General features: G+C 35.4%; 1 protein-coding gene, 1 long non-coding RNA gene and 1 pseudogene across 5 annotated transcripts in view; 2 read left to right on the top strand and 1 right to left on the bottom strand.

Annotated features, from left to right (window-relative positions):
- Positions 1 to 26,152, top strand: part of LMBRD1 (LMBR1 domain containing 1) — a 123,001-nt gene that overhangs the window by 37,960 nt on the left and 58,889 nt on the right. For all 4 annotated transcript variants that reach the window (NM_018368.4, NM_001367272.1, NM_001367271.1 and 1 more), the window contains exons 4-7: positions 6,695 to 6,792; positions 9,643 to 9,710; positions 17,174 to 17,262; positions 21,036 to 21,109. In NM_018368.4, the coding sequence (NP_060838.3) occupies positions 6,695 to 6,792; positions 9,643 to 9,710; positions 17,174 to 17,262; positions 21,036 to 21,109 (329 nt within the window). The remainder of the gene's footprint in view (positions 1 to 6,694; positions 6,793 to 9,642; positions 9,711 to 17,173; positions 17,263 to 21,035; positions 21,110 to 26,152) is intronic.
- Positions 9,714 to 16,057, top strand: LOC124901337 (uncharacterized). The gene is made up of 2 exons (XR_007059630.1): positions 9,714 to 15,063; positions 15,170 to 16,057. It is a non-coding gene; the product is annotated as an uncharacterized LOC124901337 (long non-coding RNA).
- On the bottom strand, positions 11,996 to 13,249 carry GAPDHP42 (glyceraldehyde 3 phosphate dehydrogenase pseudogene 42; annotated as a pseudogene).

The raw sequence follows: 26,152 nt of genomic DNA, 5'->3' as shown, positions 1-26,152 counted from the left end.
GATGAAATAATGGTTCCCTTCCATTAGAAGGTATGATTTCTACCAGGCCACTTTGATCTAATTCCAGTGAATAGTTACCATATCAGATGGAGTGATTGACCCTATTAGGGGAAGTAGGGTTGCTGCTACACAGTTAATGCAAGGAGAAGTATATCTTGAACCCATGGGATTTTCTGTGGCACCTCATGATATTATCATGTTCAGTGGCAAAAGTTAGTTGAGATCTATTATGCCTACCCTTCACAGACAAGATGACCAAGGGCTTGGAATAGCTCAGGAATAAATATTTGAATTTGCCCATTTCTAGTACCAAATTCTGTTTCAGGAATTGTGTGTGGCTGCTATTAGCAGTTCAGAAGTTCCTGGTTTAAATAGTCATATAGTGTTTCAGTCTCACTTAAAGTAAGTATGGAGATAGGCTATCCAGGGCTGGTATGGCAGTGCCATAACATCATGAGAGTACTAAGTTCATTCCTTCTCTACTCTCCATCCTTAGGACATGATTTCCATCTTAAGGTCACCACAGATTTTAAAATGGTGCTAGAGTTTAAGCCATCATGTATCAGTTTCAAGTAGGCTGCAGTAGGAAGGGGGAAGGTCAAGAAAGGGAGTGCCAGCTGAAAGGAAATGGGTATAGATATGCAACTATCAGTCTCGACTCAGGAGTTTTTCAGCTGGGTAAATAGATAATTTTAGAAGGCTTTTAGAATTCCCAGAATATCTTTATACTTTGACCTCTAAAACAAAAAGCTTTGTAATGACTAATTATTCTGTCACAATATTGACTGCTTTTCTTTGTCATTGTGTTTTGATGTAAATGTTAGCTATTTTCATTGGTAGTTGGGAAGGATATGTTTAAAAAATTTTTAACAATTTAAAAGTCTAATGTATCCAAGTTAATTTTCATGTGAGTTATAATTTAATGATACGTGGCTTTTAAAAGGTAGATTGTTGCTTCGTATATGTTTAAACATCTTAGGAATTACTATGTATTCTTTGGTACAGTTTTTGTCCATGACCTTTAAGTGGCTCTCTATTCACTTGTTTTTTGCTAGTTCTCGATAAGTTGTTTTAAAAAACCAACTTGTTTCATGAGTTTAATTTCGCTCAATTTCTATGGACATGAGGCTTAAAAATTTTTTCTTAATGTGTTCTTTGATGTTAGTGGGTCTGCTAAACCAAAAATCTGTTTATCTTTTATTTGCTAGTAGCAATCTTTTAACAAAAACATTTATAAGTAAAAGCATATTTTATAGAGATGTTAGGATATGAGAGTGTCATAACTTTAGAGTCAAGAATAATTTGCCTTTGAAAATGGCTGTGAGTTTGATGTAGAACTTTTAAAAAAGCAGTTTTTCCTGTTTCATGATAGTGGAGGCAGCAATATTTTTTCCCCCATTTACAGATATATAAACTCAACTTGACATTAGAACTGATCATATGATAAATGTTATAAAATAAATGTTCATTTAATTCTCTCTTTACAGTTCAACATTTATGGACTAAAAGAAGAAATCTTTATAAAGGACACTGAGAAAGAACAGATTATTAGAAGATAGCTTAGAAGGTTGTATCAGGGAAACAAATATTTAGAGCAGTTTTAAACCTATTTTGAATCATTGACTACTAGAGGGATATTATAGTCTGTTGAGAATTGTGTCTGTTCTCCACTTCATTTCCCCAGATGTTGATTGCTAAAAACTTTTGTGGGCACTTTTACCAGCAACATGGGAATTTTGGTTGCCATACATCTTTTAAGTCAATAGCTGCCCCATTTTTTTTTGACTTCTCAGATTAGTGTTGTCCATTCTCAAACTTCCTTATGTTCAATCATAGAAAGGTAGTCTTGTGTCTGGGCTTGTTTTAGTCAACACAAGGTCTATGAGATTCATCTGTTTCTCATGTTTCTTTTTTATTGCTGTGTGATCGTCTTTTATGTGAATATATCACTCAGTTTGCTTATCCATCCACTTGTTGATCATTTGGATCATTTCCAGTTTTTGATCACTGCATATAATATTTCTCTCAACATCATTATTGTAAAAGAGTTAATGCAGCAGACCTAATATTGCTGAATGCTTGTATGTTTTCAGGGAGGTCCTGCTTGTGTGGCTTACCTTTGACTAACTCCTAGGAACTTAGCCCTTGGTGTGTTCTCTATGTTACTAATTGAAAGGTGGTTTTGTACAGCTGGATATGGAACCATGCACTACTGGCTAGTTTAGATTGTGCAAAAACATGATTTTTGGAGAATTCTTGCTTTCCTTTTTGGAGTCTGTAGTTTTGGTAATCAAAGCTGGTCACTTAGGCAAATGCACTTGTTTTGCAAGTCTCCAATAAGTGCCCTGGACTCTGCAAATCAACCAAGCTTCTCTGGGCAGAGGTCCTTTTACATAAGTTGTTATACTTTATTGCTAGAGGAAGAAAATTGTTGGGTCACATGATAGGTATATGTTTAACTTGATAAGAAACTACTAAACAGTTTTTTACAGTGTTGTACCTCACTCCTACAAGTAAAGTATGATAATGTTAGTTGTTTCTGCATTCTTGCCAACACTTGGTATTGCCAGTTTAATTTTAGCCATTTAGATTTACTTTGCATTTTCCTGATGACTTATGGTGTTGAGCATCTTTTAAAATGTACTTGTTGACCAATGTATATATTTTCTTTTTCTTTTTTTTTTTTTTGAGATTGAGTCCTGTTCTGTTGCCCAGGCTGCAGTGCAGTGGCGCGAATTGGGCTTACTGCAACCTCCGCCTCCTGGGTTTAAGCAATTCTCCTGCCTCAGCCTCCTGAGTAGCTGGGATTACGGGTGCTTGCCACCATGCCTGGCTAGTTTTTTTGTATTTTTAGTAGAGACGGGATCTCATTATGTTGGCCAGGCTGGCCTGGAACTCCTGAACTCAGGTGATCTGCCTGCCTCGGCTTCCCAAAGTGCGGAGATTACAGGTGTGAGCCACCATGCCCAGAAATTGTGTATATTTTCTAATGTGAAGTATTGAAGTCTTCACCCATTTTTTAAAAAAGTTGTCTTTTTATTGAGGTACAGGAATTTGTCTTATACTTTGCTATGCTAATTAAATATAATGGTAACTTAGGTGTTCAAAAGATTGTTTATCACACAAGATTAGGAGCACCAGAAATGCTTATAAAATAGTCATTAGGCTGTTTGGCTATCTAAAGGCCAAGCCCACCAAGTAACAGACACAGTGGCATACTCAGGCTGAAGCTAAATCTTACTCCACCTATCAGTTTATCAACCAGTTTTTGTTGTGAGGCTGTCAGCCTACTCAAGTCTGTTGTGCTAATTCACTTTTTTTTCTAGTTTACACAAATTATTTTATTTGATTATGTTAATCCTAATATTGGCATGGTATTTAGGGTGATTTACAAATGGCATTTTGTATTTAAGTTTTTAAAGCTTTGGAATACCTGTTAACAATTTTTTTTTTTTTTTTTTTAAGTTCTGGGATACATGTGCAGAATGTACAGGTTTGTTACATAGGTATACGTGTGCCATGGTGGTTTGCCGCACCTGTCAACTCATCATCTAGGTTTTAAGACCTGCATGCATTAGGTATTTGTCCTAATGCTCTCCCCCGGCCTTGACCCAACCCCCTGACAGGCCCCAGTGTATGATGTTCCCCTCCCTGTGTCCATGTGTTCTCACTGTTCAACTCCCACTTATGAGTGAGAACATGAGATGTTTGGTTTTCTGTTTCCTGTGTTAGTTTGCTGAGAATGATGGCTTCCAGCTTCATCCACGTCCCTGCAAAGGACATGAACTTATTCTTTTTTATGGCTGCATAGTATTCCATGGTGTATATGTGCCACATTTTCTTTATCCAGTCTATCATTGATGGGCATTTGGGTTAGTTCCAAGTCTTTGCTATTGTAAAGAGTGCTGCAGTAAACATATGTGTGCATGTGTCTTTATAGTAGAATGATTTATGATCCTTTGGGTATATACTCAGTAATGGGATTGCTGGGTCAAATGGTATTTCTGGTTCTAAATCCTTGAGGAATCGCCACACTGTCTTCCACAATGGTTGAACTAATTTACACTCCCATCAACAGTGTAAAAGCATTCCTCTTTCTCCACATCCTCTCCAGCATTTGTTGTTTCCTGACTTAATAACCATTCTAATTGGCGTGAGATGGTATCTCATTGTGGTTTTGATTTGCATTTCTTATTGACCAGTGATGATGAGCTTTTTTTCATATGTTTGTTGGCTGCATAAATGTCTTCTTTTGAGAAGTGTTCATATCCTTTGCCCACTTTTTGATGGGGTTGTTTATTTCTTGTAAATTTGTTTAAGTTCCTTGCAGATAAATGTTTATGTCTGTTGGCTGTTAGATTTGCAATAGAAATGTTAAAACTCACTATTCTTTGGTTTGTAGTAGAAACACCAATATTCATTGCCCTAAAAGATTTATTGTCACTATTAGTTGCTCATAATATTAAAAGCCTGCATAAATTTCATTAAATGTCTATAGTGCCAAATTCAGTATGTTGACAGACATTTTGTGATTGCTAAGTATAAATTAACTCTGCGCCTCTGTTGATTATTTAGGGTCCTATTTGATTTGAGTTTCTTTTATCTGTATTGCATGTAGTAGGGCTGTTTCATAAGTGTCCTCCAGATAAATGAGATAGTGCTAGCAAATGTTAAGACAACTCTTTAAAGTCATTTCTTCCAACACAATAAGTAATTTAGATTTTATTATACATTACTAACATGCATTTTTTCCGTATTTTTTTTTTACCATCTTAACCATTTCAAGTGTACTATTCAGTGGTATTAAATATATTCATAATATGCAGCCATTGGTGCCATTCATCTCCATAACACTTTCCATCTTATAAAATTGAACTATACCTTATTAACAGTAACTCTATTCTGCCCTTCCTCTCTCCTTCTGACAACCACCGTCCTACTTTCTGTGTCCTTGCTTTTGACTACTCTCAGTACCTCATATAAGTAGAGTCATATCGTATTTGTCTTTTTGTGACTGGCTTATTTCACTTAGCGTAATGTCCTGGTTATGCTAAGTTCATCTGTGTTGTAGCATATAGCCATATATCATTTCCTAACTTTTTTTTTTTTTTTGAGACGGAGTCTCTCTCTCGCCCAGGCTGGAGTGCAGTGGCGCGATCTCGGCTCACTGCAAGCTCTGCCTCCCAGGTTCACGCCATTCTCCTGCCTCAGCCTCCCGAGTAGCTGGGAATACAGGTGCCCACGACCACGCCCAGCTAATTTTTTTGTATTTTTAGTAGAGACGGGGTTTCACCGTGTTAGCCAGGATGGTCTCGATCTCCTGTATACCACATTTTGCCTCTCTATCCATCCATCAGTGGACACTTGGGTGGCTTTCATGTTTTAGTTACTGTGAACAATGCAGTTAGGAACATGGGTGTACAAATAACTCTTCGAGAGTCTGTTTTCAACTCTTGTGTGCATACACCTGGAAGTAGAATTGCTGGATCATATGTAATGCCATTTTTCATTTTTTTAGGAAACATCGTACTGTTTTCCACAGCTGCTATACCATTTTATATTCCCACCAGCAGCACACAGGGTTCCAGTTCCTCCACATCCTTGACAACACTTGTCATTATTATTGTTTTTTGTTAGTAGCCATCCTAATGGGTCTGAGATGGTAACAGCTGCTTTCTTTTATAAAGCAATACAATGATTATCATTCTGTAATTGCTTTATATAATTATACTGGTACTATTATGTTTCATGAATATGTACAAACAAATGAATGTGAATATACAGATTTTAAAACAGGTTTCTTAGGCTTAAGTCTCAAATGTTCCTTATTCTGTTTTTATTGTTAAAGGTACTGTATCTTTGGATTAACTTAAGCTCTATATTGAATTTAGATAAATATTTTGACTGACTGCTGGTTAAAAGTATGTCAAATCTAACATTTTTTTTAAAAAAAGCAGATAAATAGTAATTCCTATCAGTTAATGTTGAATCTAATTTTGAATATAATCTAAGAATTGAAAACAGGGTCATGAAGAGCTATTTGTCCTTGCATGTTCATAGCTGCATTATTCACAAATTGCAAAATTTGGAAGCAACCCCTGTGGTCCATTGATGGGTAAATAGAGAGTCTAATTTTACTGTTCTACTATTCTTTTTACCTTTTCTCTATTTTGATTTGTGTAAGATTGGTTATATAATACTGCATATTTTTTTAAACTTGAGATGAGAAAATTATTTATATCACAAAGAATATTATTTATAGCTGTTTCTTTAACTTGCTGGAATAGCAAATGTTGTGTCAAGTGTACTCAAATTTAAGTTGGAATGAACACAAAAGTTAAAGTTCATTTAAATGGGATGGTTTATAGGACGTTCTCAGCATTGTAGTTAGTACAGAGTAAGAGCTCATATGTCAGCTGCCACAATTGTTCTTGACCCAGTTATTACTATTGTTAGAAATTGCTGTAAAGTTAACTTGAATTATGGGTTGTTATTCTGATAATACTGTTGATTTCTTGGGACATGGGACAGAAAAGGCTATTTGGGCATCATGTACTATATAGAAAGAGTTATGAGAAGAGGGAATCAGATAGGGGAGTGAATTTGTTAAGTGAATATATATACATATAGATAGATAACCATGATTAAGTACATATGTATTTAGTAAAGCTCGGTTTATTATTTATTTCCACAGCTTTATATTCTGTTATATTGTTCTGTGTGTTCTTCTGGATCCCTTTTGTCTACTTCTATTATGAAGAAAAGGATGATGATGATACTAGTAAATGTACTGTAAGTATCTTTATTTTAGAGGCCTTAGTTTAGGAAAGAAAAATAATATTACCTGCTTTTTCAGAGAATGAATGACTGAATTTTTTCTAGAGCAGTGTTGTCTAATAGAAATACAATGTTAGCTAAATTAAAATAAAAAGAAACAGTTGAAATTAATTTAATTATACATTGTATTTAGCATAATATATTCCAAATATTATTTCAAATATAGTCAAACTATTAATGAAATATTAAGTTTCTTTTCTTCACACTAAGTCTTTGAAATTTGGGTTGTTTTTTACACAACAATCAAGCTAGCCACATTTCAAGTGCTTTCTAGCCACATGTGGCTTGTAACTATTGTTTTAGACAAAGCAATTCTAGATCAGGCATACAAAATTTTTTCTGTAGAAGGCCAGGTAGTAAATAATTTAGGATTTGTGGGCTATATGGTCTCTGTCTTAGCCACTCAAGTCTGCCATTATAGTGTTAAAAGTATCCAGAGACAGCGAACATTTTATGATCCAGTAAAACAGAAGATGAATCAGATGTGGCACACTGAATGTAGTTTGCTGGCCCCTGTTCAAAAGCATAAAGAAGGAGCACTTGTAGGTTGTTCTTACTAATCCAGGATAAGGCTGACTTTTTTTTTGGCCAGGCGCTGTGGCTCACGCCTGTAATCCCAGCACTTTGGGAGGCCGAGGCGGGCGGATCACCTGAGGTCAGGAGTTAAGAGACCAGCCTGGCCAACATGGCGAAACCTTGTCTCTACTAAAAGTACAAAAATTAGCTGGGCATGGCGGCAAGGGCCTGTAATCCCAGCTACTCCGGAGGCTGAGGCAGGAGAATTGCTTGAACCCGCGAGGCGGAGGTTGCAGTGAGCCGAGATCACTCCACTGCGCTCCAGCCTGGGCAACAAGAGCGAGACTCCATCTCAGAAAAAAAAAAAAAGGACCGACTTTTTAAAAACCTGACAAATACAGCACACATCCATGTTCAGAACTGCCGACCATTATCACTTAAGTATTGGTATAAACAACTAAAATAATAGTAAATATAATTCAGGAGCATCTTAGAAATATATTGATATTATATAACCGAGTTGGGCCTGTCTCTCAATTGCATGGATGACTGAAAATCAGGAAATCTATTAATATATAGTAATTAATAGGTCAAAGAAAAAAATATATGTTAAAAGGTATATGTCAAAATCGAACACTGTAATTTAGGGGAACAGTTATACAATAAGACTAAATGTCTTATCTTTTTGACTTATAGGATTTTGTTTTATACCTTGTTTATATTTGTATTTAAATACAGAAATAAATGTATTAAGTCAAAAGCTAGCATCATGCTTAATCATGCTTAAAACTTCAAGAGCATTTGCATTAAGATTAGGAGCAAGTAAATTAACAGTATTTTAAATGACTCCTAGAAAAAAAGTTAGGTATTTAAATATTTATGAAGAGAGTCAAAATTGTTATTTGCAGATACTATTTTACTCTATATTTGGAAAAACCAAGGTATGTAAAGTAAGGTAGCTAGTTACAAATTTGATAAGATCTCCACGAGATGTATGCGTTCTCTTTCACTTCTTCCAAAGTGCACATTCTTCTACCCTTTGGTTGATCTTAGGATCTTCTTTACCTTTTCTTTAGTTTTTTTCCTAAAGAATATCTTACCCCCTTTGTGAATAAGAACTATGTGAAACATTAATTCAGATTTTAAAAGATGATTTTTAGATACTTCGTTAGTCTGAGAGGACAAATGTTATTTCTGACCGATTTAAAATGAGATTATTATTAACTTTTTTATTCGTATTCAGAATGTCCAGCTTTGTCTTTATTTGCTTTTCTTAGCCTTTGGAGTATATTATAAGCACCAAGCAAAACATGGTTTTTAAATTCCCAAGTTCCTGGTCTTAAGTACTTATTTAATCACTTATGACCTATGTGCCTTAGGACAGATTATTAACTTCTCTGGACTTAAGCTTCCTTATGTCTAAAGATGAGAACAACCTATCTTAGAGTTATTATGAGAATTAAATGAGTTAACATATGTGACGTTCTTATCAGTGCCTGGCATGATATATGTTATATATGTATAAGATATATATTAATGTATGTAAGTATATATGCACATATATTTATGTATATGTGTATATATACTTATATATGTATATATGAGTATGTATATGTGTATATATACTTATATATGTATATATGAGTATGTATATGTGTATATATACTTATATATGTATATATGAGTATGTATATGTGTATATATACTTATATATGTATATATGAGTATGTATATGTGTATATATACTTATATATGTATATATGAGTATGTATATGTGTATATATACTTATATATGTATATATGAGTATGTATATGTGTATATATACTTATATATGTATATATGAGTATGTATATATACAAATATATTTAATATATACTCATGTATATACTCAAACACAAACGTATATATTGTGTTTATTATTGTTATAAACCATTTTGATGAATTGGGTTGGGGCATTGTAGATTCTGATTGCTGTCTGGGGGAATATTTTATTACATATTCTGATAATTTTACTAAAGATGCCTACTGGAGAATTAACTATGCTTTAGGTGGATTGGTTTTTACAAGGGCCTAACTATTGAAAAGATTTAAAAAATCTCATGTTTTGCAAAGATACTTAAGATGTAGTATACCTGTTTTCTTTAAATTTTAAGGTTGTTTTTCAACCTTAGTTTCAATATTGAGTGTAAGCATGTATCTGATGTGAAGGTACTGTTAAAGTGTTGCAAGAATATTTTATATTTTAAAGGGCTTGCTAAATGTTATACTTTTTTCTCCTTGGCATCTAGCAAATTAAAACGGCACTCAAGTATACTTTGGGATTTGTTGTGATTTGTGCACTGCTTCTTTTAGTTGGGTAAGTCTTGATTTTTTTTTTTTAAACCATGAAATGGAAATAGAATTATTTGAAAAAAAAAATAAAAGGATCATTCAGAAAAATCTAGGAAAGAAAAAAATGTAAGAAAAAAGAACAATCCACTCTCTAAATCTCCAAGGAACAATAGCCACAATTTAACAGTTTTGTCTATGTTGTTTCATCTAGACATTTTTATGTGCTTGAATGCAAGCAGAGTTCACCTCCCTTCTTGCATGCATTCTACATGCTTTTTACACAAATGTGATTATGTTTTATATAATTCTTGGTAATCTGCCTGTTAACATATTGTGGGCATCTCTGCAGGATAGTAAGTGTAGCTCCATCAATTTTGACTATATTGCGTTTCCTTCTAAGGATACAAAAATATATTTAACTGATCTTCTAGTGATGACTGCTTAGACATTTATAATGTTTCCCCATTATAAATAACACTTTGATGAAAATTCTTGTCTGTGCATCTTTTCAGATTTGACCCTATCAGTCTTTTAAATCTTTGTCAATGAATTCCCTTTCTTAATTCTTCTTGTTTTTATACTAATATCAGTAAGATTTTGCTTATTTGTTTGTACTTCTAAAATTTATCCTTGTTAATGGAAGACATTTATCTTTGTTAAAAATAGGTCATTAGTCTCATTTTTTATGTTAGGAAATATATTAGGAGTTAATAAATTTTTTAAAGTTTCTGTTTATAATTTAGTCTCACAATTTTCAATAAATAACTTTCCATAAATAAAAAAATTACTTATTACATGTAACTTGTAATGGGAATAAAATTGTTGAGTAATGGGAATAAAATTCTTGAACTTTTTGTAGTTCCAGGAGTTCTTAGGATGCATGTGTTTTATAGTCAAGTCATATTTTCAGTTCTTTTTACCTGCCTTGATGTGTCATGAAAAAGAGTACTTTTGTAAGCACTTTTTTTAGTGGTTTTTCTATGTATTTTAGCTCTGGAGTATATTTCTAAAGTATTTTTTTGGCTTTTTAAAGAAAGCCAAATCTACTTATGTTAATTTCCCTTGTTAACATCGAGGTCCCTTGTATGCAAACCTGAATTATCTGGAGCGGGAATCAGCAAACTTTTCTTAAAGCATAGATAGTAAGTATTTTAGATTTATTGTCTGTATGGTCTTTGTGTCTCTCTTGTAGCTCAGAAGTAATCATAGACAATACATAAACAAAGAACATGACTGTGTTCTAGGAAAACTTTATTTATAAACACAGGCAGCCAATAGTTTGCCAACTCCTATTTTAGAACATGAGTGAGAATCATCAATAAAACTACAAATCTTTGCAACAGTGAGAATAAGAAAATAGTGAATTAAAGACTATTAGCATTTCAGCCATCTAGGACAGTGTTCTTCTCATTATCATACGTAAATATTTGAATGAGGCGTGCATTTAGGTTAACTGATTGACAAAAGGTCTTGAAATATTTTTGAAGGTGGCATATTCAGAGTTTCTTTTAAGTGATATGCTTTTGCTAATAAAACTAGATAATTTTATGGCAAAGCCGTGATCTAGATTTAACTAATTCATGTAGCTCATACGTTTTTGAAACACTTATGTGTTGGATACTGTGCTAGATCTTAGGGCTAAAGGTAGAGGACCATGGTCTCTGTCCTCTAGGTTTACATTGTGGAGGCATGCAGATACATACCTTTAATTACAGTGTTTAAGTGCTCTGATAGGAGATACATACCAGATGTTGATGGTAGAGGAGCAGGTTCTTACTCTGCATTGCAGAATCAGGAGATCTAAGAGGAAGTAATATTTGAGTTGAGATTCGAAGGAATGGGAATTGGTCAGCTGACTTGACAAATAAAAAAGATGAGTAACATGTATAATGTTTTCATCTGCTTTGGCTGCCATAACAAGGTATCATAGACTGGGTGGCTTAAATAACAGTCATTTATTTTCTCATGGTTCTGGAGGTTAGAAGTCTACGTTGAAGGTGCTGGCAAATTTGGTTTCTGGTGAGAGTTCTCTTCCTGGCTTATAGAAGGCCACCTTCTTGCTCTGTCTTCACATGGCCTTTCCTTTGTGCTTGCAGAGAGAGAAGGGGAGGGGGAGAGTGAGAGGGTGGAGGAGAGAGAAGGAGCACTCTCTGGTGTCTCTTCCTCACCAATGCCATGGGATGATTAGGGCCCCACCCTTGTGACTTCATTTAACACTAATTCCCTTGCTAAATGACGTATATCCAAATACCATTACATTGGGGGTTAGGGCTTCAACATATGGATTTTGTTTTTTTTTTTTTTTGGAGAGTTGAGTACAGGGGACTTTATTGATAGTACATGACAAAGGTGGTACTCCCTAGGTCCCTCCTTCTTCAGGGGGTCTGACACAGAAACTGTGTCCAGGGGAGATTCTCAGTGTGGTAAGGGACTGAGTGCGTCAGGGACTCCCCAGCAGCTGAGGGCCTCTCTCTCCCTGTTGTGCTCTTGCTGGGGCTGGTGATCCAGGGGCTCTTACCCCTTGGAAGCCGGGTGGAACATGAGTTCCACCACCCTGTTGCTGTAGCCAAATTCATTGTCGTATCAGAAAATGAGTTTGAAAAAGTGGTTGTTGAAGGCAGTGCCAGCCCCAGCATCAAAGGTGAAGGAATGAGTATCACTAGTAAAGTTGGAGGAGACAACCTGTTGCTCAGTGTAGTCCAGAATGCCTTTGAAGGGACCCTCCAATGCCTGTTTTACCATCTTCTTTATGTCATCATATTTGGCAAGTTTCTCCAGATGGCACATCAGGTCCACAACCAACACATTGGCAGTGGGAACATGGAAAGTTATGCCAGTAAGCTTCCTATAGATCAGGGATGACCTTGCACACAGCTTCGGCAACACAGAGGCAGGGATGATGTTCTAGAGAGCCCCACAGCTGTCACACCACAGTATCCCAGAGGGGCCATCCATGGTCTTCTGAGTGCCAGTGATGGCATGAACTGTGGTCATGAGTCCCTCCATGATGCCACAGTTGTCCAGGGTGGCTAAGCAGTTGATAGTGCAGGAGGCATTGCTGACCATCTTAATGCCATTTTTGTACTTCTCATGGTTCATGCCCATCACATGGGGGTATCAGCAGAATGGGCAGAGACGAGGATCCTTTTGGTTCCCTGCTTTAAGTGAACCTCAGCCTTCTTCATGGTAGTGAAGATGCTGGTAGATTCCACAACATAATCAGCGCCCAAATCACCCCATTTAATTTTGGTGAAATCTTGCAACTGTAAGAGGGTGATGGGATTTCCAATGATGACAGGTTTCCAGTTCTCAGCCTTGACAGTGCCCTAGAACTTGCCATGGGTGGAATCGTGCTGGAACATTTAGGCCGTGTAGTGAAGGTCACTGAAGGGTCAGTGATGGCAACAATATTCACTTTGCCAGAGTTAAAAGGAGCTCTGGTGACCAGGCACCACTATGGCCAAATCCATTTAGTCTGGCCTTCACTTTCACCATGATGTCTCAGTAATGTGTCTGGTGATGCTGAGAAGATGAGGCTTTCTGTAGAATGGGGGAGCAGAGAGCCAGCAACATATGAATTTTTAGGGAACACAATTCAGTCTATAAAATATATTAACTGGGAGGCTGAGGTTAGCATGGAGTGTTTGAAGAATGACATAAAAAGTGTGATGTGAATTTAGATTTCCCCTCCCCTCAAAAAAGGAAGGGTAATATGATGTTTCAGGTGTTCCTGTGGGCAAGTGACAGGATATGACATTAGCCAGGTAAGTAGACTCTGGGTCTTACATGCCATGTTTAAGAAATTTTTGGCCGGGCGCGGTGGCTCACGCCTGTAATCCCAGCACTTTGGGAGGCCGAGGCGGGTGGATCATGAGGTCAGGAGATCGAGACCATCCTGGCTAACAAGGTGAAACCCCGTCTCTACTAAAAATACAAAAAATTAGCCGGGCACGGTGGCGGGCGCCTGTAGTCCCAGCTACTCGGGAGGCTGAGGCAGGAGAATGGCGTGAACCCGGGAAGCGGAGCTTGCAGTGAGCCGAGATTGCGCCACTGCAGTCCGCAGTCCGACCTGGGCGACAGAGCGAGACTCCGTCTCAAAAAAAAAAAAAAAAGAAATTTTTAATTTTGTCCTACCCGGTAATTGTAAGACAGTGAAGATGTGTATATATTTGTGTAAATGAATGCATGAAAATAAATATGTATGACTTTGCTTTAAGAGTTACAGCACTGTGGGCTGGGCATGGTGGCTCCCGCCTGTAATCCCAGCACTTTGGGAGGCCGAGGGAGGTGGATCACGAGGTCAAGAGATCGAGACCATGCTGGCCAACATGGTGACTTCTACTAAAAATACAAAAATTAGCTGGGCATAGTGGTGCGCGCCTGTAATCCTAGCTACTCTGGAGGCTGAGGCAGGAGAACGGCTTGAACCCGGGAGGCAGAGGTTGCAGTGAGCTGAGATTGTGCCACTGCACTCCAGCCTGGCAACAGAGTGAGATTCCGTCTTAAAAAAAAAAAAAGAGTTACAGCACTGTGAAGGATGTATTGCAAGAGGATTTTGGGTGTTGGGTTGGAGAAGTGGTATGTAAATAGTAGGTAGGAAGATCAGTTAAGTAGCCATTATATAAGTTCAGGTGAGCATTGGAACTACAGTGGTTACAAAGAGAACAGAGAGGAAGAAACATAAGCTATTTGGAAGATAAATATGAATTGACTTGGTGATGGAGTGTAAGAAGTGAACATCTTATTTTCAGTTATGCTGAATTCATCATTTCCATTTCATATCTACTGAAATTCATTAGCTTTTCCTTTGTCTGTTTCTGAAGAGATAATGTGTGTGAAGTTAATTCAGTGAATCAGATTGGGTAGGAAATATTTTTACTAAGCAGTTTTTTAGTTTTGTTATTTTCAAGGGCATGAGGGAAAAGTATAATCTTACTAGGCTGTAGTTTGTATTTTAACCCATTTATGCCAGAGGTTGCAAATTTTTTTGGTGAAAAATCAGACCTTGATGATGACCTTGAGTAGTAAAATATAAATAACTCTCACAAGCTTAGTATTCCAATAATGGAACAATAGGCATAAATGGCTTAATCTAGTACTTTGTGTTTTTGGAAGCTGAGGTGTTCTGTATACATTTTTTTTAGAAGGGCTGAGATTTTAAAAGTATGTGCACCTTTCTACCACACAAATCCCATTGTATTCTAACTCTCGGTTACTTTAATATCATCACCATTTCATTTAGTATACTTTAGTATACCTGATACTTTAGTAAATGCTTTAGTATACCTGATAATTTTAACTGCTGTTTCTTTCCTCAGAACTGATATATCTATATTATAACTTTATTGGACTTCAGTTGCCTTTTCATCTGTTGGGAGGTATTTCTTTTTCTTTATAGATCTTTGTCTATGGGGCTGATATTTGGTCAATGAACAGTGGTTTATTCCTTCTGGTGGTTAAAAGGTTGACATGCTTTTATACCAGTCAGGTGCTGCTCTGCCCTCTGGATCTTCTTCCCCTACCTCAGCTCCATTGAAAGAGGAAAGCCTGGTTCATCAGTGTCCTGCAGAATTAAGGCCAGGGTCTGTGTTGATTAATTAGTGCCTTTGCCATATTTTGAGTTCTACTTATGGATATTTTCTTAGTTTATGTGAAAATATTTTAGGTCTGATTTTTAGATTATAAAATCCTGATGGTAAAGTAATTTAAGAACCTGCTTTGAATTTGTGCTTTCGTTTATACCTAAAATACTATGTGCTCAAATGTTTAACTCTCTGATGGATGCTTTCAAAGTATTTTCCTGAAGTCATTCTGATAGTAGTGTGGGTCACTTAACTTAGTCTTTTTAGTTTTTTTGATTATATAAGTTTCCCTCTGGTATTACTCTATTTGAACTGCTAGATAATTCTGCTCAGGAGTTGAACATGTGTCATCAAGAGCAAGGGTTAATTAATTTTAGTCTCTTTCTGTACAATATCTTTGATTACCTAAAACTGACATACTGAGTTTTAGAATATTGCGTATTAAACCCTATGAGATGAATGCTATTTTTAGATATCCTAATACGTATTTCTTTTTTAATAGTATGATGGGTGGTATTTTGTACAACATAGAAATTTTTGTTTTCCCACTCTCACAGATTGGTTATTCCCAGCTAACAAGTTCAGAGCATACTTTTTGGGATATCCAGAACAAACTGTCCAAATAAAGGAATATCATATGGGTAGTTTTTTCTTGCTTAGTTTATATTTCTGTTATGGATGTGTAATATACAAAAATGTTATAATTTTATTTCTTGATTCCACACCTCTGCTTTCATTTGTTTGATTTCATACCTGGGGCAACAAATAATAAACTTTCTACATTTATTGCTCTATGCCTGTAAGCACTTTTTTTTTTCTAAAAGTGGTGAGAAATAAGTCTCTAGGATTAAGAAGAATATAGTAAACTGAAGTCAATGCAGATAGTTAGAAATTTAAGTAACCCCCTGACATGCTGTGCCCAGTCATTTTTTAAATAAGAGTTATCAGTAGCAACAGGAAATAGGGATTTTTTTAATTAAAAAGAAAATTTTAGAGTAATTACTTTGTTTTACATGAAAACATTATTAGAGCAGGTACCTTAATATATTATTGAACTAATTCATTTCCTCTTTACAACAGAGGATAAATCTTATCACTTTGCTTACACTTAAAATTAGGTTGGGAAGGACGTGGTATTAGAGTTACTTCCTACTCCTGTTTGTTCCTACACATATACAACCTAAGGGATACCCAGCTCTTTACCTTAATCTCTTGATTATCTTCTTGTTATTGATATGGGCTAGATAATAAAGTGCACATTTATTTATTCTATCGTTTCCCAGTCTAAGATCATAGAGCAGGTCCTAGGATGCTAGCTGTCTCTATTATTTCTACAGTTCCTTTTCACCTGTGGGTTGAAAAACAAATAGAAACTACTTTCATTGTGTCTGTTGGATAGAATCTTGAAAGATATATTAATAGAAAAATACTAATAAGAAAGTAATAATCACTCCCGATTCCACAGTGAGACATTTACTGTTTATTCTAATGTATTTCTTTTGTTTCTTAAATAATTGCATATGTTTACATTCTGCTTTACTGATTTAATACAGATGTCCTTAACCTTTTTTGTGGATTGTTTTGATCGTTTTAAACCTGTGGTCCATTCTCAAAATATTATATATTAATTTTTTGTTTTTTACCAGCTTTATTAAAGTATAATAAAGTATTTTAAGTGCAAAAAACATACGGGATTACAAAGGAAACTAATTTTTCTGAATGCAGTAATACAACTATTAAATTTACAAGGAAGTAAATGCATAGATAAGAAACTTTTCACTCCCCTCTGTGCATAGTACAGATTTTATTTATTTATTGTTTTGGAGAAAAATAATTTGAGTTTCAAACCATTTAATTTAACTTTTTATCTTTAAAGCTATTAAAACAATTATTTTCTCTTTTGTAGTGCCTTTGTTCCATTGAATGTTCCCAATAACAAAAATTCTACAGAGTGGGAAAAAGTGAAGTCCCTATTTGAAGAACTTGGAAGTAGTCGTAAGTATTGTTTTTTTTAAAAAACATAGTAGTTTATATTTCCTGATACTTTGGACTTTTGAGAAGCAGTTTATTTGTATTTTGTTAAGAATTTAACCCCAGCTGGGCGTGGTGGCTCATGCCTGTAATCCTAGCACTTTGGGAGGCCGAGGGGTGGGGGGTGGATCACGAGGTCAGGAGTTTGAGACCAGCCTGGCCAACATGGCCAAACCCCGTCTCTGCTAAAAATACAAAAATTAGCTGGGTGCAGTGGCAGGCGCCTGTAATCCCAGCTGCTCGGGAGGCTGAGGCAGGAGAATCGGTTGAACCTGGGAGGTGGAGGTTGCAGTGAGCTGAATTGCGCCATTGCATTCCAGCCTGGGGGACTGAGCAAGACAGAGCGAGACTCCATCTCAAAAAAAAAAAAGAACTTAACCCCACAGTTTTTCTAACTCGTCATTTTGAACCTAATGCTAGACAAATTAGAAGTGTTGCATTCTTAAGGCTTGCTTTTAGCCATCTAGCTATTACGTAGCTATTTTCTTGACTTCTTTATAAAATTACCATGTTGAAAGAAAATTTAATCTTCAAAGTATTTTAGCAGTGAGGCTCTTATAATTTCTATGTGATTTTTAATTCACTTAGGATAATATAAAATAATATGTTAAAGAAATGTACTGGATATATTAGATTTTATTTTTAATTAGTAAGAGAGAACCTTATGTTTTTGTTTGAGATTAAATCATCTTTTATATAAAATGTAAATTAGAGGTTTTATATGAATTAAATGTTTTATTATAAATTTACCTCATCAAAATATTTTGGCATTGCTTTTCTAGAAGTTTTTCTTAACTTACTCTGTGTGACCTAGGTTTTTACAGAAAAAAAAGGCTCACGGATTAGGTTAAGAAAATTGCTTAATCATTGAAAAAATAACTGGCATTAGAAAGTGATATTAAAATATTGTGTATCATATTACTCAAAATTCCTTGTGCATTTGAACATAGTAACCTTATTTTCAAAGATACCTAGTGTACTTAATTCTATAAATACTATGCAGAAAAATTGCTTTTTTGACTATTCTAATAGGTACTGTACATTCTTTAATCAGCACTTCTTTCTTTTTACCCAGGTACAATACTAAACGATGATTAAATTAAGTCTTGCAGTCTGCTGTATGAGTTCTTAATTTTCTTGCTTTCCACTTAAGATCTCATGTTGTAAATTGTGATTCATTAATATCTTGCTGATACCAGCAAGAATAAGGGTAGCAGGCCTCGCATCTACTAATACTGAATTGTCAGATTTATGTACCTTGATTCTATTGCTGATAAATTAATGGCTTCTTTTCTTGGAGTTAACTCCTTTAGATATCTTGAGTAACTACTCTTCTACCCTAAACATTATTTCATAAGTTATACTTTGAGTATTAGTATAACTTGAATTGGTGATTAGATAGGTAGCATTATTCTGTTTTTTGTAATTCCATTCTCTTTAGTCTTTATTTTTTTTGTCTCCCAGTGTTAAACACCATATTCTAGAATACATGTTACTTATCACTCTAGATGAGCTGTCTAAGTCCAAAACAGTTACCCAACTATTCTTAATTTTTAGTCCTTTCGTCTCTCATCCCACCTCCTTGCATTGCATTTTTCAGGCATCAAGGGTATATGACCTTTTTATTGATTGATTGATTGATTGATTGAGACGGAGTCTTGCTCTGTCACCCCGGCTAGAGTGCAGTGGCATGATCGTGGCTCACTGCAACCCCTGCCTTCCGGGTTCAAGCGATTCTCTTGCCTCAGCCTCCTGAGTAGCTGGGACTACAGGCACCCGCCACCACGCTTAGCTAATTTTTGTATTTTTAGTAGAGATGGAGTTTCAACATATTGGCCAGGCTGGTCTCGAACTCCTGACCTTGTGATCCGCCCACCTTGGCCTCCCAAAGTGCTGGGATTACAGGCATGAGCCACTGCACCCGGCCTATATAACCTTTTTTAAAAAAAATGCTTTATATGTAGTAAAATGTGTAGATCTTATGATACATGTATATAGTCATTGTAACTGATTGCAGTCAAGGTGTAGAACACATCCATCACTCCAGCAATTTTTTCGCAGTATTCCATTCAGTTAATATCATCTCCCATGAGAGGCACCATTGTTATAATTTCTGCCACTATATATTAGTTATATTAGTTTTACTTTTTTTGAATATTGTAAGTAGAATTCTGATTCCATTTATTAATGATTCTTTTTTGTGTATACCTGGCATCTTTCATGAAATAATGTTGTGAAATTCATTTGTATTAGTAGTTCCTTTTTATTGCAGCAGAGTAATGCATTTTATGACTATACTACAACTTGTTTACAATAGGATTTATTTATTATATCATAAAGATATATGCAGCCAGATCATAGACCCCCTAATATATAAAGAGAATGCATCTTCAGGTATCTTCAGCACACATTTATTCATCTTTTACCCAAATGGGAATAATTAATAATGATCAATTTTGAGTTATTTGGTTCAGATGATTTTGACTATTAGTAATATTAACATTTCGATTGGCCAAATATGTCAGCATGTCTATTTTACCATTTCTAAGACACATAATTTTTCAGATTTTTACATCGCTGTTTTGGAGATACATTTTACAAGTGATAGTACCTTAAAATTATCAGCCAGATGTCAGACCCCTCCTAGTTGTATAAACACCTTCTCATGATACTTCTGGTATGATCAGTAAAGTAACAGCATCAAAATGTCTTTGATTTGATAAAAAGTAGTTTTAAAAAATTAAGGCTTAAAAATTTGCCTTGCGTGATTGTGAATTTGTTAATAATATGCCTTCTTTATGTGTTATACAAAACTGAGACATGAGTTTTAAGATGATAGATCATTATAATTTTATTAGTACTCATAAAAGATTAATGTCAATACATTAAATTAATCAAAACTTTGTATTTGATTCCACAGGACTTGCATTTAAACTCGCTCAATACAGGCCTAATAGGACCTGTATTAAAACTGGAAAAAGTGTTGCTCCTAAGAATATTCAAATTTGCATAGTATTTTATTACATAATTTGATATATTTATGTGAAAGTGTCATTCCTGCCCCTCACTCTTTGACCTTCCTTTAGATAATTTCCTAAATCCAATGCGTTAGCATAGTATTTTGTGTGTGTGTGTGTGTGTGTGTGTGTGTGTATTTTTAAACCTATTTTCTCGTTGTGTTTGCTTTTATTTTTCTGCCAAGTAGGCAAGCTTGTCCTTTCAAGTTAAAAAGTGAAATAAATCTTTAATTAAGATTTTAGTTTTTGATTATCTATTAAGAACCAATTTGAAAATTAAGAACAAAGAAACTGGAAGTCTCAAGACTGAGGGGAGAAGGGAGAAAGAGTCAAGGTCAGTGGCTTTCCTATGAAATGTTATTTCTCAGGGTCTGCCATTGAGAAAGGCCATGTGATCTTTTTAATCACCTTTTGAGCATCTGATATTTTGCTGATCTCTTTTTGGGCCCAATAATTAGCCAGTAATTTTCCTCTTAATTTTAAGACGTGAAGGAAAGAAAATCTCAGCTAGTCAGAAAGATTTTTTACAAATCAATTTTTAAAGAGTCCTTTAGAAACTCTTTTCTCCACTTGGAGTTAGCACTTCAAGAATACGGTAATACATATTGGTTTTTATTTCTTCAAAATGTGTAAGCAGCTCAGCTTTCTATGTTGATTTGCTAAATATAAGGATTTGAGTAGTATATATGTACATTTTTAACAGTTTTTCTTTCTTCACAGATGGTTTAGCTGCATTGTCATTTTCTATCAGTTCTCTGACCTTGATTGGAATGTTGGCAGCTATAACTTACACAGTAAGTGAAATGGGGATAATTGAGTTAAAATTGCCTTATAAAACAATTTTTTTACCTTAGTAATTTATTAAACTTTATTCTGTTTTCCTTTATAATATTTTGATTCTTTTTCAATTTTTCTTCAGTTTTCTTTACTTAAGGGTAAAATTTTAACTACTTAGCCATCATCATTTTAGCTGTATTTGTGCAATTTCATAATCAGAAATTTTATAACTTATGAACCTTGAAGGTGGTTATATACTGTTATAATAATCTATGCTTATAAATCTATATAATAGATTTATAATACCTGATATGCTTATAAATCTATATGCCTATAGATTTATAAGCATATTAATAGATTTATAATATAAGCATATAATATATAATATAAGCATATTAATAGATTTATAAGCATATTAGAACTCTGAACCATAGACCATATCTATTACTGGTTTTGCAGATTTACTCTACTTGGGGATATAGGGCTTTTAAAATCAGATATTTTATATAACTTGATACTTCTCTTTTATATGAAATCTGTTCTTATACTCCCAGACTTTTTTCCCCTCAGTCTTCCTGGAAGTGGTAAGGTGTGAATTATAAATGACTGACCAAGTTGTATACAGACTTCTCTTTGAGTCTTTTGCTCACATTGTAGATAAAAAGCTAGTAATAAATGCTTCTTTATTACCTATCTTGAGAGTTGTATAAGCAGCATTAATATTATCTGGAACCTTTCAGATTAATGAAGTTTATGTTGAAGCACTCTTAATTCTTGCAAAGATGAAAATTCTGGTTACAAAGGAAACATTTTTGGGTATTTTCTTAAGATGTCTTCCTTTAGACATAAAGGAAATGGCTATTATCGTAAGAGCAGAATTTAGTTTTGTCACATGATCATTCACGTGCCATAATGTATAATAAAAGAACCCCAAAAGACATACATTTCAATATCTTACAGGTGCTTACTTGGGTACTCAGTTTTATTATTCATTGAAATTTTTGTGTTTTTATGTGATACCACATAAGGAACTTGTCATCTAATATCATTGGGTGATTATCCTTCTATCTCACAGAATGTACAGCATAGTAGTTGTCTTTTAAGAAGTAGTCACAAGTTAATAACAAATTAGGAATTAGACCTGGATTTTAACTGCTATTATTCTGTGACTGATCTGCTATGCTAATCTTGGGTTTGTCCTTTAACCTTTCTGGATCAGTGTCTTCCCTATTAAATGGAAATAGAAAATGTTCCACAGGGATTTTTGAAGGTCAAATGATACTATTTGTAAAAGTGCTTTGAAACCTTTAGAGAAATGAGGATATAGCAATCAATGAAACATAAGTCAGGAGAAAAAAATAGAGAGAAATTCAGTATGTAATGTCAATGTCAAGAACTATGAAGGACCTAGGATATTTACCCTACTTGTAACCTGCCAGTTTTGTGGATGACAACTGAAGATGTAAGACTTCTACTCACAGCAATAGCAGTAGCCATAGGATCAACTTTTTTGTGTGTTGGTTCCCGGAGTCCCAGTTCCCTTAGGGCAATGGGGAGAGAACTAGATGAGACCTGCACATAATAGAGTGTATTGTAGAAGAGGAACCCTGAGCTTAGGGAAGCTGAATCTTTTATAATGGATGGTAAGCATGCCTGTCCTTTGCTCCAGGGAAAGATATTTTCTGCATCTACCAAGACTATTTGCTATACAAAGATCTTTGAAAAGATAGTACAGAAAAAAAAAGTGGTGGGTCGGCGGAGGGGGGGTCAATTAGCTCCTGGCTTGCAAAATATGCAGAAATGAAAGATGCGTGGAGATGTGTCTCCCAGTGGTCAATTGGTAGATACTATGAGGAAAAATAAGGCAGCATAAGTAGATAGACAGTAGTAGAGGCTGAGACTACTGTAAAGATCAGGAATAGTTTCTAACATCTGAACAGAGACCTGAATGAAGTGAAAGTAAGCCATGACAGAAGAGTAAGTGTGAGGATCCTGAGGTGGGCACATACATGCTATATTCAGATACTAGCAAGGAGGCAAAGCCATTGTGGCTGGAATTCAGTTGACAAGGGGGAGTAGTAAAAGTTTCATTGAGAGGTAGCAAGAGGCCATGTCATGTGAGCTTTATAGTCCACAGTTAGGGTTTTGAAGTTTATACTGATTGAGTTTTGAAGCCCCTGGAAGTTTTTAAATGGAAAAGGCATGGGCTCTGACAAACATTTTAACAGTATCACTCTGGTGGCTCCGAATTAAATAAGCTATGAGGGTAGCGAGTGGGAGTGGAGAAAATAAGATGTTACTAAAACTATTTGAAAGAGAGCTTCTTTGTAGGAATGATATTATTGGAAAGAAACATTTTAAACTAATATTTTATATTTAAATGGAAACTTTGAAAATTATTTAAATCAATTAAACTGACATAGTATTCATACTGAATTGGTTAAGCTATCCTTAAAAGAACTTCACTTTTCTAGAATACAGCAGGTCCTCAAATAACATCTTTTTTTTTTTTTTTATGTTGTTTTCCTATAATGTTGATGTGAAAAAAGAACAGTTTCTGGCTAGGGCCACTGTGTGGAGTTTGCATGTTGTTTCCATGTCTGCGTGGGTTTTCTCTGGGTACTCTGGTTTCCTCCCACATTCCCAAGATGTGCGTATTAGGTGAATTGGTATGTCTGAAATTGTGCCAGTAGGAGTTAGTGTAGGTATGTGTGAGTGCACCCTGCAGTTGGAATGGCATCCTGTCCAGTGTTGGTTCCTGCCTTGCAACCTGAGCTAGTGGGATAGGCTCCAGCCACCCGTGACCCTGAACTAAGAATAAGTGGCTTGGAAAATGAATGAGCAAATGAATGCAAATTATTGTAAAATAAAAATTCATGAAGTATACTACATACAAGTGCATAACAATAATTGCAATACAAAAGCGTTCAGCTAGCCCAACACTGTTGTTTCTTTGTTTTTGTTTTTGAACTGTGTGGTGGTAGGAGGAGCTCTTTATAATTTTCACTTTGCAAACATTTATTCCTTAATTTAACCCACTATGACCACAACCATCGTCACTCACTAATTCACCAAAAGTTGAGTATTTTGTTTTTATTAATCTTTCCTAAATGTATGTAGAGCTTACATTTATTTCAGTATTTAATATTAGAAGTGCTTTGAATCTTTATTTAGAAGTTTGGTGATGTTCTTGTGACCAGAAATATGCAATAGGAAGTTAGCTTTTGTTTACGTCAATTAGTCTGTAGTAAAATTGGTTTTGTTGCCAGGCACAATGGCTCACGCCTGTAATCCCAGCCCTTTCGGAGACCGAGGTGGGCGGGTCACCTGAGGTCAGGAGTTTGAGACCAGCCTGGCTAACATGGTAAAACCCCATCTCTACTGAAAATACAAAAATTAGCCGGGCTTAGTGGTGGGCTCCTGTAATCGCAGGTACTCGGGAGACTGAGGCAGGAGAATCGCTTGAATTCGGCAGGCAGAGGTTGCAGTGAGCCGAGATTGCGCCATTTCACTCCAGCCTGGGAGACAAGAGCAAGACTCCGTCTCAAAAAAAAAAAAAAATTGGTTTTGTTATACATCCTTTCACTTAAAGTCCCAGTTTCCAAGAATCCATTGATGACGTTATGTGATGATTTACTGTATAGAGGGCTGGGCTGAAGGATATTGATAAAACAACCAGAGGACCTTATAATGGGATTGAGGGTGGGAACCAGGAACACATAGAAGAGTTGCTAAATAGGTAGAGAGGGGCCACTTAAGGCCTAAGGCCAAGGGAGAGATTCCGATGTAACAGCCCACTAAGATCCAACTTCCTAGCAGTTATTGGTTTTCTTTAAGCAGCATAAACAATAAAATTATAATAATTGGTGTGGAGAGGCTGAAATGTGGATCTCAAGTCCATGGGCCTCCTGACCTACTTTCCCATCTAAATTTCTTCATCTTTATAGTGGTATGATATTTAAGTAATAAAGTAGTGAGGATTTAATTAAATAATCCACCAAGTCTTGGAATCTACTGGCCACTTAATAGTCACTATTAGCTTAAACAGTTGAATATTCACAGTTTCATATGGTTCAAACTATAGTTCCCACCTCTTTCCTCTCTCAGTGAAAATAAACCAAATGCAAAAAGCAGTTGTATCATGATCAGTGAGAATGTTTCTTATTCAAAGGTAAGTCAAAAAGGCATTCATAATTGAATGGTGGTTAGTTGGGGTTGGGGGAGTGTGGATAGAGAGATAATATCATTCGAATAGCACTACAAGTACTCAAAGCTCAGGTTTTGCTGCCAAGCCATGATTTGGCCAGTTTTAATACCTGTGGTGTATAGAGGGAGGGGAAGAGGAAGGTAGATGATACCCTGTTCAAGAGGGGCATCATGGTGTGTATAGCTGAGCTCTGGTCATGAATGTTGAGTTTGTTTAAAATCTATTACCTGATCCCAAGCTTCCCCATCTGTAAAAATGAGCCAATAATACTTACCGAAATTTTAGTAAAAATTCAGTGAAAACCAACAATTTATAGATATGTGGTTTTATTGTAGATAGGTAGTTAAATAGTATAATTATCATATTTGCTTGTAGTTGGGATACAAAGTTTTCTCCTAACTTACCTTGGAAAAGGTTGAGAACTGGACTTTCCTTGTGGCACCTTGAAAGAGGGTATAGAAAATATGCATGAGGACTAGAATAGGTTTAATCTTAATTAAAGTACCCAGAGTGGGAAATTAATACTTGAGTACTTTGACCCTAAATATAATATGAAATGTAAAAATCATGTTTGTTATGGAATTTGTAACTGAATTTTTTTTTTGTATTGAGGCTAGAGAAATTTTTTTATCTTATGTGTCAGTCAAGTGTGAATTTCTTAGTTATGTATTATTGTTTATTTTTGAAACTAGTTGATTATTTAAATTTTACTGATTCTGACTACTGTACCCTGTATTAATCAATGCCAAATAATTGGACAGTGAGCTTTAGGAGAAGGAGGTCAAACAGCATATTAGTTTGCCTATTATTTTAAGCTTACATTGAAAGGGAATTGATACTTACTAAATTTAAA

The sequence above is a fragment of the Homo sapiens genome, chromosome 6, assembly GCF_000001405.40.
Source record: "Homo sapiens chromosome 6, GRCh38.p14 Primary Assembly".
Classification (NCBI taxonomy): domain Eukaryota; kingdom Metazoa; phylum Chordata; class Mammalia; order Primates; family Hominidae; genus Homo; species Homo sapiens.
Note: the sequence above shows the minus strand (reverse complement) of the source record. Positions and strands in the feature narration are given on the sequence as shown.